General features: G+C 37.0%; 1 protein-coding gene and 1 long non-coding RNA gene across 14 annotated transcripts in view; one reads left to right on the top strand and one right to left on the bottom strand.

Annotated features, from left to right (window-relative positions):
- INPP4B (inositol polyphosphate-4-phosphatase type II B) overlaps positions 1-13,679 on the top strand; it is an 823,376-nt gene that overhangs the window by 215,865 nt on the left and 593,832 nt on the right. For 2 of the 12 annotated variants that reach the window (NM_001385336.1, XM_024454274.2), the window contains exon 3: positions 13,130-13,292. The exons of the other annotated variants lie outside the window; for them this stretch is intronic. The gene's annotated coding sequence lies outside the window, so the exon portion shown is untranslated. The remainder of the gene's footprint in view (positions 1-13,129; positions 13,293-13,679) is intronic. 12 annotated transcript variants of the gene reach the window in all.
- The window catches only part of LOC101927613 (uncharacterized), a 100,791-nt gene that overhangs the window by 32,028 nt on the left and 55,084 nt on the right, over positions 1-13,679 (bottom strand). The window lies entirely within an intron of this gene.

Below are 13,679 nucleotides of genomic sequence, written 5' to 3'. Positions count from 1 at the left end.
CTTCTTCTGTCCTCCTAAGTCTCCTGACCTGGTAATTATTCACTTTCTTGTTTGCTCTGAAAAGACTTAAAATGCAGTATTTTTTATAACATTTTATCCAGATTTCTAGTTGCCCTCAGTAGCAGTATTAATTTGTATTAACCAGCCTGTCATTAACAGAAGTAGAAGCCTTAATAGAGTTTATTCAGTTTACATGTTAAAAACCTGAATGCTACCTCACCTCCCAGAAGAACATAAACATCACTAATGTGTTTAGAATATAAAAATAAAGTTCCTGAAAATTTTTAAATATTTAATTTGATTTAAAAAATAAAAGATAAACACAAAACAGAAACGTACTATGTTGGCTGTAAGTAACAGAAATCCAATTTTAATTAGCTTGGGTATGAAAGCATTGCCTTATTTAACCACATTCTTAGAAAGAACTATAACAGGAATAACTAGATTAAAAGCACAAAACACTGAGGAATATATCTCCCTTGGTTTTCATGCCTCTTCTGTTCTTTAGATGCTGAATTTACCCTACTTTGGACAAGCTTTTTCATCATGGCGGGAACAGAACTACTGATCGCGTTGGGCTTACATATTGCCATCAGAAAGGAGAAAAGAAGCTCTTTTCCTTCACTTCTTTTTCCTTCCATCAAAATCCAATAAGAAGAATCCTAGCAAATGTCTAGACAATGTTTAGTGTAGGCCCTATGCCTGTCTTTGGATCATCACTGTACTCAGTTTCTGTAGTTTGGCTTAAATCCTACATCCAACCTTGGACACATTGCTCTGGTCAGTTTCTCTAGAAGGGGCTATTCTAATTGGCAGCAGCAGATGCTAGCCTCGGAAGAAGAGGCATGCAGGTGAAGGGCAATTGGGCAGAGGGCAAGAATAACCCCTATATTATGCTGCATCAAACATTTCACAAACAAGTTCCATCCTGCTTCCAACATTGTATTTTACTATTGCCCCCTCACACCTTAATTCTTGTCACAGTGAACTTCTCAATTTTCCCTCCAAGTGTGTCATGTTTTTTCATGGCTCTATATTGTTTTATTGACTAGAAATATGTTCTGTTGTGCAAACTAGCATTGCCTAAATATTGTAAAGACCCAGCTTAACAAAACACCTCAGTGTGTTCTCTCTGCCCCTCAAACACACACACATACACACTCATGCATACACTCACGCACTCTAGGGTTTCCTTCATCTCATCTAGAAATAAACAATCTCTCCTTCCTAAATCAGAATCTCTGCATTTATCCTGTTGAAGCTAATATCATTCTTATTTATTTTCTTATACCAAACTATGATCAACTCCAATTTAGTTGCCATTTCTTATCTCATATATACTCTCTTACAGTTTGCCACACCTAAAACAATCCATAATCATTTGTTGAATAAGTAAATGAAAACTGGTGTTTTCCAGGAATTCATGCTCAGCTCAATGATCATTCAATATTGATTGATTGCCAGTTCCCTGGGAAGCAGGTTTAATATATGCCCCAGAATCTCCTCACTTTTCCAGCAGACTTGGGCTGAGAGAAGAACCACTGGGCACACTCTTTACCTATTACTTTTGTTTACATCCTTAGTCCTGGAAGGGAACAGCATACTCTCATCAAAATAGCATATTCTGTTTCTGGATTATTAATTGCTGGAAAGTGCTTCCATAAAAAATGGGTGAGAATAGAGAAGAATAAATAAAATGTGAGAGAGGTGGATTTTGTTTCTTATGGACATATTTTGACTGCACAGTACTGGATTATTTCTTAGGAAATAAATATTTTGTGTTATCTATGATACTTTATTTGTGCTCCTCCCCAGCACACCTTCCCTGTGATGCAGGCTGTGCACTTATTTGCGTTTATCTTTTGTTTGGGCGGAACTCCTATGGGAGAATAAAACTGTCATAGAGAATGAATATATCTTCTCTGCAAAGAAACTAAACATTAGGAATTCTGTAATATTGTGGGGCCATATCTTATGAAATGTCTATAAAAAAGGATGAATCAAAGAAAAATATAAATAACCTACGCATCCATGGGAATAATCATGGCAGGGAAATGGTGCGGTAGCAAGTGACAATCAAAGAACAATTCTTTTTTTTTTTTTTTTTTTTTTTACTTTAAGTTTTAGGGTACATGTGCACATTGTGCAGGTCAGTCACATATGTATACATGTGCCATGCTGGTGCGCTGCACCCACTAACTCGTCATCTAGCATTTAGGTATATCTCCCAATGCTATCCCTCCCCCCTCCCCCCACCCCACAACAGTCCCCAGAGTGTGATATTCCCCTTCCTGTGTCCATGTGATCTCATTGTTCAGTTCCCACCTATGAGTGAGAATATGCGGTGTTTAGTTTTTTGTTCTTGTGATAGTTTACTGAGAATGATGATTTCCAATTTCATCCATGTCCCTACAAAGGACATGAACTCATCATTTTTTATGGCTGCATAGTATTCCATGGTGTATATGTGCCACATTTTCTTAATCCAATCTATCATTGTTGGACATTTGGGTTGGTTCCAAGTCTTTGCTATTGTGAATAATGCCGCAATAAACATACGTGTGCATGTGTCTTTATAGCAGCATGATTTATAGTCCTTTGGGTATATACCCAGTAATGGGATGGCTGGGTACGCAAATAAACTAGAAAATCTAGAAGAAATGGATAAATTCCTCGACACATACACTCTTCCAAGACTAAACCAGGAAGAAGTTGAATCTCTGAATAGACCAATAACAGGATCTGAAATTGTGGCAATAATCAATAGCTTACCAACCAAAAAGAGTCCAGGACCAGATGGATTCACAGCCGAATTCTACCAGAGGTACAAGGAGGAACTGGTACCATTTCTTCTGAAACTATTCCAATCAATAGAAAAAGAGGGAATCCTCCTAACTCATTTTATGAGGCCAGCATCATTCTGATACCAAAGCTGGGCAGAGACACAACCAAAAAAGAGAATTTTAGACCAATATCCTTGATGAACATTCGTGAAAAAATCCTCAATAAAATACTGGCAAACCGAATCCAGCAGCACATCAAAAAGCTTATCCACCATGATCAAGTGGGCTTCATCCCTGGGATGCAAGGCTGGTTCAATATACGCAAATCAATAAATGTAATCCAGCATATAAACAGAGCCAAAGACAAAAACCACATGATTATCTCAATAGATGCAGAAAAAGCCTTTGACAAAATTCAACAACCCTTCATGCTAAAAACTCTCAATAAATTAGGTATTGATGGGACGTATCTCAAAATAATAAGAGCTATCTATGACAAACCCACAGCCAATATCATACTGAATGGGCAAAAACTGGAAGCATTCCCTTTGAAAACTGGCATAAGACAGGGATGCCCTCTCTCACCACTCCTATTCAACATAGTGTTGGAAGTTCTGGCCAGGGCAATTAGGCAGGAGAAGGAAATAAAGGGTATTCAATTAGGAAAAGAGGAAGTCAAATTGTCCCTGTTTGTAGACGACATGATTGTATATCTATAAAGAACAATTCTTAAGGTGGTGCAGTTGACTGAAGTGCACTGACACTGCACAGAGGTACTGAGACTGGAGAGTGTCATTTTAGGTCACTTTATAGTGTCACAGTGAAGGGCTCTTGTAGTAGGAGACTATGTATCAAAAACTTCAGTGATAGAATATACAGCCTCTTACAAAAGTCTCCCAAGCAGGATCCTTTAATCATACCTAGCTACTTGAGGCTTTCATTTGGATGAGAAATACATTGAGAAAACACAGCTTTATGGGTGTTTTTGGATAGTGATATATACCAGAGAATGGAAGAAATACCTTACAGCATCAAACACTACTAGTTTATTTGAGGAAATTTCAGTAAGTATTAAGAACAATTAACTTATTCTGCCATTTTGGTGGAGCTAGTTAGGATTTTTCAAGTAGAAAGACAGAGTGAATATGTTGGTTTCTTTTATTGGGTAGCAAATTCTTACAAACTCAGTAGCTTAAAACAATGTCTACACATTTGTTCATGGTTCTATAGGTGAGAAGTCTGGGTGTGGTGTAACTGGGGTCATTGCCCATGATCCCACAAGGCTGAAATCAGAAGTGAGTGGAGTTTAATTCGTACATGGAACTTAGAGCCCTTTTCCAAGTTCACATCATTGTTGGCAGAATCCAGTTACTTATGATTGTAGAACTGAGACCCCTGCTTTTTTGTGGGCTGTTGGCTGGGGGTTGATCTCAGCCTCCTGTGGCTGCTCTCACATCCTTGCCACATCACTCCTTTCATTTTCAAAGCCAACATTGGAGAATCTCTCATGTCAAATCTTTCTGACTTAAAGAAGATCCCTGTCCCTTTTAAGGATTTACCTGATTGTGTCAGGCCAATCCAGGTAATTTTCCTTTTGAATAAACTCAACTGATTATTAACCTAACCATGGGGATGATAGTCCATCATGTTCACAGTTCTGCTCATGTTCAAAAGGAGTGAATTTTGTAGGTTGCCTGTTCACTCTGATGGTAGTTTCTTTTGTTGTGCAGAAGCTCTTTAGTTTAATGAGATCCCATTTGTCAATTTTGGCTTCTGTTGCCATTGCTTTTGGTGTTTCAGACATGAAGTCCTTGCCCATGCCTATGTCCTGAATGGTATTGCCTAGGTTTTCTTCTAGGGTTTTTATGGTTTTAGGTCTAACGTTTAAGTCTTTAATCCATCCTGAATTAATTTTTGTATAAGGCGTAAGGAAGGGATCCAATTTCAGCTTTCTACATATGGCTAGCCAGTTCTCCCAGCACCATTTATTAAGTAGGGAATCCTTTCCCCATTTCTTGTTTTTGTCAGGTTTGTCAAAGATCAGATAGTTGTAGGTATGCGGCATTATTTCTGAGGGCTCTGTTCTGTTCCATTGATCTATATCTCTGTTTTGGTACCAGTACCATGCTGTTTTGGTTACTGTTGCATTGTAGTATAGTTTGAAATCAGGTAGTGTGATGCCTCCAGCTTTGTTCTTTTGGCTTAGGATTGACTTGGTGATGCGGGCTCTTTTTTGGTTCCATATGAACTTTAAAGTAGTTTTTTCCAATTCTGTGAAGAAAGTCATTGGTAGCTTGATGGGGATGGCATTGAATCTATAAATTACCTTGGGCAGTATGGCCATTTTCACGATATTGATTCTTCCTACCCATGAGCATGGAATGTTCTTCTATTTGTTTGTGTCCTCTTTTATTTCATTGAGCAGTGGTTTGTAGTTCTCCTTGAAGAGGTCCTTCACATCCCTTGCAAGTTGGATTCCTAGGTATTTTATTCACTTTGAAGCAATTGTGAATGGGAGTTCACTCATGATTTGACTCTCTCTTTGTCTGTTATTGGTGTATAAGAATGCTTGTGATTTTTGTACATTGATTTTTTATCCTGAGACTTTGCTGAAGTTGCTTATCAGCTTAAGGAGATTTTGGGCTGAGACAATGGGGTTTTCTAGATATACAATCATGTCCTCTGCAAACAGGGACAATTTGACTTCCTCTTTTCCTAATTGAATACCCTTTATTTCCTTCTCCTGCCTAATTGCCCTGGCCAGAACTTCCAACACTATGTTGAATAGGAGTGGTGAGAGAGGGCATCCCTGTCTTGTGCCAGTTTTCAAAGGGAATGCTTCCAGTTTTTGCCCATTCAGTATGATATTGGCTGTGGGTTTGTCATAGATAGCTCTTATTATTTTGAGATACATCCCATCAATACCTAATTTATTGAGAGTTTTTAGCATGAAGCGTTGTTGAATTTTGTCAAAGGCCTTTTCTGCATCTATTGAGATAATCATGTGGTTTTTGTCTTTGATTCTGTTTATATGCTGGATTACATTTATTGATTTGCGTATATTGAACCAGCCTTGCATCCCAGGGATGAAGCCCACTTGATCATGTTGGATAAGCTTTTTGATGTGCTGCTGGATTCAGTTTGCCAGTATTTTATTGAGGATTTTTTCACGAATGTTCATCAAGGATATTGGTCTAAAATTCTCTTTTTTGGGGTTGTGTCTTTGCCTGGCTTTGGTATCAGGATGATGCTGGCCTCATAAAATGAGTTAGGAGGATTCCCTCTTTTTCTATTGATTGGAATAGTTTCAGAAGGAATGGTACAAGTTCCTTCTTGTACCTCTGATAGAATTCGGCTGTGAATCCATCTGGTCCTGGACTCTTGAGAAAATTTTCACAACCTACTCATCTGACAAAGGGCTAATATCCAGCATCTACAATGAACTCAAACAAATTTACAAGAAAAAAACAAACAACCCCATCAAAAAGTGGGCGAAGGACATGAACAGACACTTCTCAAAAGAAGACATTTATGCAGCCAAAAAACACATGAAAAAATGCTCACCATCACTGGCCATCAGAGAAATGCAAATCAAAACCACAATGAGATACCATCTCACACCAGTTAGAATGGCAATCATTAAAAAGTCAGGAAACAACAGGTGCGGGAGAGGATGTGGAGAAATAGGAACACTTTATACTGTTGGTGGGACTGTAAACTAGTTCAACCATTGTGGAAGTCAGTGTGGCGATTCCTCAGAGATCTAGAACTAGAAATACCATTTGACCCAGCCATCCCATTACTGGGTATATACCCAAAGGACTATAAATCATGCTGCTTTAAAGACACATGCACACGTATGTTTATTGCGGCAGTATTCACGATAGCAAAGACTTGGAACCAACCCAAATGTCCAACAATGATAGACTGGATTAAGAAAATGTGGCACATATACACCGTGGAATACTATGCAGCCATAAAAAATGATGAGTTCATGTCCTTTGTAGGGACATGGATGAAACTGGAAATCATCATTCTCAGTAAACTATCGCAAGGACAAAAAACCAAACACTACATTTTCTCACTCATAGGTGGGAATTGAACAATGAGAACACATGGACACAGGAAGGGGAACATCACACTCTGGGGACTGTTGTGGGGTGGGGTGAGGGGGGAGGGATAGCATTAGGAGATATACCTAATGCTAAATGATGAGTTAATGGGTGCAGCACACGAGCATGGCACATGTATACATATGTAACTAACCTGCACATTGTGCGCATGTACCCTAAAACTTAAGGTATAATAATAATAAAATTTAAAAAAGGAGTGAATTATACAGGCCTGTATAACAAGGAATGGAAATGTTGGGACTGTCTTAGAATTTAGCCATCACCATGGATCCCTGTTTTAGGAGAGTGACTGTGGAAAAATATGAAGGACAGGTTAGAAAGGTATGAAGATATTGCCAAAAGGTGTCAGCTTGTGTGTCAACTCCAGTCATGTGGTGGGGACTTTCTGGGGCATGGTGCTAAGGGTTCACCAAGCCAGGAAGATTCCTGTAATTAGGCAAAGAAGGTAGGAGTGGCAGCAAATGCACTTTGTTTTCACCACCCTGTTAGGGAGATTCCAGTAGTCCTAGAAATGGACGGTGTCAGACTGAATTGAAGCAGGTACAATAGGAGTAGAGAAGATGCAGAAGTTGTACAGACTCTGTGTATATTTGCGACTGTGATAGATAAGCCTCAGATAAGGAAATCAGAGGGAGAAGTAAAGGCGATTTGACTCTGGAGTTTCCATTTTCAAGTGATTTCCACGGGTCACCTCAGAAAGTCAGAAGTGTAGGAGAATCTGGGATATGAGGATATTTAGGAGGCTATAGAGGAGTGTTAAGGGCCAAAACATCTCTTTGGGCAGTAATTTATTCCCATTGGCTTAACACACAATTTTTTAATTGATTGAGGTGAAGGTTGCACAGTGCTATGAATATATTTTGTATGCTTTAAATGGGTGAATCTTACAATATGTGAATTACATCTCAATAACGCTGTTCCAAAAAATTTCTGTAGTACAGGACTCAAAATGTGTTTTACAGCAGAAATCTTTTTTAACAATAACAAAATAAGGGTCTAAGATGTAGCTGAGGTTTTAGAGTAAACTCTATTTTCTATAGAGACCATGATTGGTTGTGCCAATCAACCAAGTTCCTTCTCTTGGATCACCATTGATCCTCATTAATTGTCTTTGAGTTTTCTCTTTCTCCCCTTGCCTGTCATCTTGTTTTGGTCCAAGGAATTTCCCGCATGATATTTTTTTCTCCTTCTCCACTCAGGCGGTCTCATTGTCTCTTCTTGCATTAAGGCTATTCATTTAGAAGGACTGAAGTGCAAAAAGTTTTATTTGCTCTTCATTGTATACCCCAACTCTTTTATCTGCCCAATTCCCTATTGCTTTAACCATTACAAGCAAGTATGACATGCACACTGAGATGTTGGGAGCACCTGGGCATCTTGGTACAGGACCCTGGAGAGAGGTTAAGGGATGGGGACTTTTTTTTTTTAATGGAAGCTTTTACTGTTGATTCACATCGGCATTATAAAGAAACCCCTGACTTTATCAAAGGGAAAATGTGATGAAAAGTATCAGTGTTAGCAATATGGTTTTATTTACATCATTAAAGTTTGTAGCCCGGGCCCACATTGAGCTTTTTGGGAGTCCAGTGAGATTAGTTTGCCATAAAATTGCAAAGCTGCAGTTACAGCAGCAACCATTAATTCAGCATCTATCCTGTGCCAGGTCATTTATACATGAAGAAATAATGATGAAGCTGTTTAAGCACATGGACTTTAGAACCAGAATGTTTGGGTCCAGATCTCAATTTTCAATTTACTTACTGTATAACCTTCATTAAGTTACTTAATCTTCTGTCTTAGTTTTTCTACCTGTAAAAGTAGGCTATTAACAACACTTGCCTGTAGATTTTTTTCTTCAGACAAGTAAGTTATACTACTTAAAGCATTGAGAATAATCATGTGCAACGTGCAAACACTAAATGTTAAATATTATTGTTTATATACATAATTATATTTTATTACATAATATTTTTATACATAATATTTTTATAAGGTATGTGTGATATTTTATTATGTACATAGAATATGTGATTACATCATATTTAATCCACATCATTATTCAGCAAGGTAGGAAGGATTTTTCTATTTGTGAGAAAACTGATTTAGAGATGTTAAAAAATAAATGCTTGTCAAATCTCTCAGAGTGAGAAGAGAGTGAAGTTGCAATTTAAATCCCACTGAGTAACTCTTACAATCATGTCCTTTCCACTCTGCTATGGTCTGAATTTATCTCTTATATTAGTATTAAATACAGATGATTGACATCCAAAAATATTTCTTTTCCTCCTGAATCTGGGCTAGATATAATTGACACCCATCTAAAGCAATTTCAAGTGCACGGGGACTGTATAAGTGGTGTGTGGTTGTAATCATCATCTATTTTACCATGAGCTATTTAGGACTGGCCTAAACAGATATAATTTTCTAAATCTTTTAGTAGATCTACATCACTTACCTCTCTACTGCTAAGTTTCTCACAAACAGTATTCTATTTTTTTGCAGATTTGGTCAATAATAAGAAGAAGGATTTACACTCCATTCTTAGTTCTTTATTTTATGTTTATATTTGGTGGTAGAAAATTTGCATAATAAAGTAGCAGACCACGCAATAATCAGAATCAGTGAATAATAGACAAAGGGGCTAAAATGTCCTGCATTTTATTATTGGTTTCCTACTGGATATAACTAAGACATTATAGTATGAAAATCCAGATACACTAGATTTAAAAAAAAAGCTCCTTCAATAGCATTTAAGGTTTTTTTGATATTTTAATTTACTTTTTTGATTTATAGTTCTATGAATGTTAACACATGTATAGACTTGTATAACCACCAACACAATCAGAATACAGTGCAATTCCATCATCTAAAAAACTCCCCGAATGGTTATGTTTTAAGTGAGTCTTTGAAAAAAATTAAATGGTTAAAGTCAGAAACACAAGGAATAATCTGAAAATAATGAAACAATTAAAAACTTGAACAAAATCTGAAAACTTGAATTTTTCTTTTGACTCTGCTGCTAAATAGTTGTAAAATTCTATGGGCATTCTTAACTTTTTTTTATTTTTAATACTCATATCTTTATTTTTTTAACTCTTATTTCAGTTTAATGCATACATGTGCAAGTAGGTTCTGCAGATAAATTGCATGTCATGCGGGTTTGTTGTACATACTATTTCATCATCCAGTTAATAAGCATAGTACCTGATAGGTAGTTTATCGATCCTCACTCTCCTCCCCCACTCCATCCTCAAGTGGGCACGAGTGTCTATTATTTCCTTCTTTGTGTGTGTGTGTACTCAAAGTATAGGTCCCATTTATAAGTGAGAGCATGCAGTATTTGGTTTTCTGTTCCTGCATTAATTCACTTAGGATAATGGCTTCCAGCTCCATCTATGTTGCTGCAAAAGACATAATCTCGCTCTTTTCTACAGCTGTGTAATATTCCATGGTGTATATGTACCACATTTTCTTTATCCAGTCCACAGTTGATGGGCATTTAGGTTGATTCCATGTATTTGTGCTTGTGATTAGTGTGGTAATGAACATATGTGTGCATGTGTTTTTATGGTAGAGCTACTTACGTTTCTTTAGGTATATACCCATTGTTGGAATTGTTGGGCCGAATGGTAGTTCTGTTTTAATTTCTTTAAGAAATCTCCACGATGCTTTCCACATCCCCAGCAGCAATGTATGAGAGTTATCTTTTCTCTGCAGCTAGCATCTGTTATTTTTTGACTCGTAAAACCCAGTTTCTTCATCTTTAAAAAACGAGGTTAGGTTAAATTAGTCCTACTACTCTTACTTGGTTTTAAATTTTAGGACTATGATTCTGTGTTAAATCATGTGAGCTCAAACATTTCAGAAAGTATCCTTACTTTGTGGCAAAATAAACGTATCTCTCTTCCTTTCCTTTCTTATCCACTCCTGAGATATAATCTCTAATCTCATATTCATTTCTCCTTTTGGGGGGTATTCCTGTGGTAATAACACTTAACATGAGATCTGCCCTCTTAACACATTTCTAAGCGGATAATACAGTATTAACTGTGGGCACAATGTTATACAGAAGATCTCTAGAACTTAATAACCTTGCATAACTGAAACCTTACTCCTATTGGATAGCAATTCCCTATTTCCCTTTCCCTCTTATCCCCTGGCAACAACCATTCTACTCTCTGGTTCTGTGTGTTTGAACCTTTTATATAACTCCCTGACTCTTTTATATAACTCCTTTAAGTAGTATTATCCAGCATTTATTCTTCTGTGACTGGCTTATTTCACATAGCATAATGTCTTCAAGGTTTATCCATGTTGTTGCCTATGGCAGGATTGCCTTTTATTTTAAAGGCTGAATCATATTCCATTGTATGTATATACCATATTTTCTTTGTCCCTTCATCTGTCAGTAGACATGTAGGTTGTTTCCACATCTTGGCTATTGTGAATCATGCTCAGTGAGCATGGGAGTGGAAATATGTCTTTGAGATCCTGATTTCAATTCCTTTGGATAAATATCCAGTATCAGGATTACTGGATTATATAGTATTTCTATTTTTAATTTTTTTTTTTAGGAATCTCCATACTGTTTTCTACAGCAGCTGCACTGTTTTACATTCTCAGGATGGCACAAATAATCAGTTTCTTCACATCTATGCCAATACTTCTTATTTCGTCTTTTTCGATAAAAACCATCTTAAGAGGTGTAAGGTGACATCTCAATGTGGTGTTGATTTGCGTTTACCTGGTGATGAGTGATGTTGGGCAGCATTTCATATATCTGTTGGCCTTTCATATGTGGTCTTTGGAGAAATGTATATTCAAGTCATTTGCATATTTTTATTTGGCTGTTATTTATTTATTTATTTATTTATTTATTTTGCCATTGAGTTGAAGGATCTATTTTAGATAGTAATCCCTTATTAGATATAGTATTTGCAAAAAATTTTCTCCATTCCACAGATTGTCTTTTCATTTTGTTGATTGTTTACTCTGCAGAAGCTTTTTAGTTTGGTATAGTCCCATTTGCCTAGTTTTGCATTCATTGCCTATGCTTTGGTGTCATATGCAAGAAATCATTGTCAAGACCAATGTTATGAAGATTTTCCTCTATTTTTTATGAGTATTACATAGTTTGGGCTTATTTTTAAGTGTTTAATCCATTTTGAGATTTTTGTGTGTATGTGTATAGTGGAAGAAAAGGGTCCAGTTTTATTTTTTGCATGTGGGTATCTAGTTTCCCCAGTGCTGTTTGTTGAAGAGACAATTTGCCTTCCCTTTGGCATATCCTTGACACCTTTATCAAAAATCAGTTGATCATACATGCGTGAGCTTATTTCAGGAGTTCTCCATTCTGTTCCATTGGTCCATATGTCTTTCATTATGCCAGCAGCATACTGTTTTAATTAGAATAGCTTTGTATTATATTTTGAAACCAGGAAGCGTGATTTCTCCTGCTTTGTTCTTCTTACAGTTGTTTTGGCTATTCAAGGTCTTTTGTAGTTCCATATAAGTTTTAGGGATTTTTTTTTTCTATTTCAGTAGACAGTACCATTGATATTTTGATAGGTATTGCATTGAATCTGTAAATCAGTTTGAGTAATATGGACATTTTGACAATATTAAGTCTTTCAATATTCATTTCTTAATGTTCCCCATTGGATATATTACTATAGCACATGAAGTATATAAAATCTAACTTTCTTTAATTCCCTTTAAAAAGGATGATTTGAATTACCATTCCATCATTGTAATGACATTTAGCCATAATGCTTCTTAAGTATGATATTTTTATTGATAAATTATAATAATTTGGACTAGCTCATTTCAACAAAAGGAGACAAAACCTGAAGAGTGACAAGTGACTTGAGAATCTCCAACTTTTATGCTGTTATCTCTATTGCATTGCCTGGAAATTGTGTTAATTCAATCCAGCTTGGCAAGGTGAGAGATGCTAAGCGTATCCTCTAAACAGGGTTTTCTATAGGATTTATATTGTAACTATTTTTTAGCAGATGACTTAATCAGGGATATTCTCCCTTTTCATCTGTGCTGTTTTCTCTGAACTCCAGGAGTCATGTGCTTGGGAAGCAGACAGACAGTGCCTAGGATAATGCCAGCTCGTTGTTTATTGCTCACGGGCTAACCTTTATGAAATTAATGGCAGCGCCTTCTCTCTTTATGTTACCCAAACTCATGTCCCTTCCACTCTAGGTGTGAAGATTGTGCTAGAGGTGTCTCTCCAGCCGTGAGCTTTTGCCTCTGGTGCTGTCCTGGTCTTGCTGAAGGGAGGGGAGATTATATTCTGAGCAGCAAGCAATGGTTGCTGCCCTTGAGCATTTTGCCTCCAGCTGTCATCCCTGTGACCTAAGGGAAGGTGGGTGCAGATCAGCTATGCATGTGTGTGAGTTGGAGCGAATGTATGTCAGCTATGTTCATCTTTCCACAGCCAGGGAATGGATGAGATCTGCCTTTTTTGTGTGTCAATTTGTCAATAGAAATAGTGCGGCTGTAGGCACAGAGTATTCTGGTAGGCTAGAAACTCCTGATATTCCAGGAAAGCCACTGAATAGAATAAATGATAATGGGTTAGGAGTGTGAGGGTTCTCAGTTTATGCATGTTTGAGCAAATAGAGGGTTTATTTTTTAAATTTTTATTCTATTTTTTTAGATCTTAGAGGTAAAAGTATAGTTTTCTTACAAGGATAGATTGTGTAGCTGTGAAGTTCGGGCTTTTAGTGTGCCCATCACCCAAATACTGCAC

Source organism: Homo sapiens, chromosome 4 (genome assembly GCF_000001405.40).
Source record: "Homo sapiens chromosome 4, GRCh38.p14 Primary Assembly".
NCBI classification, from domain to species: Eukaryota; Metazoa; Chordata; class Mammalia; order Primates; family Hominidae; genus Homo; species Homo sapiens.
Note: the sequence above shows the minus strand (reverse complement) of the source record. Positions and strands in the feature narration are given on the sequence as shown.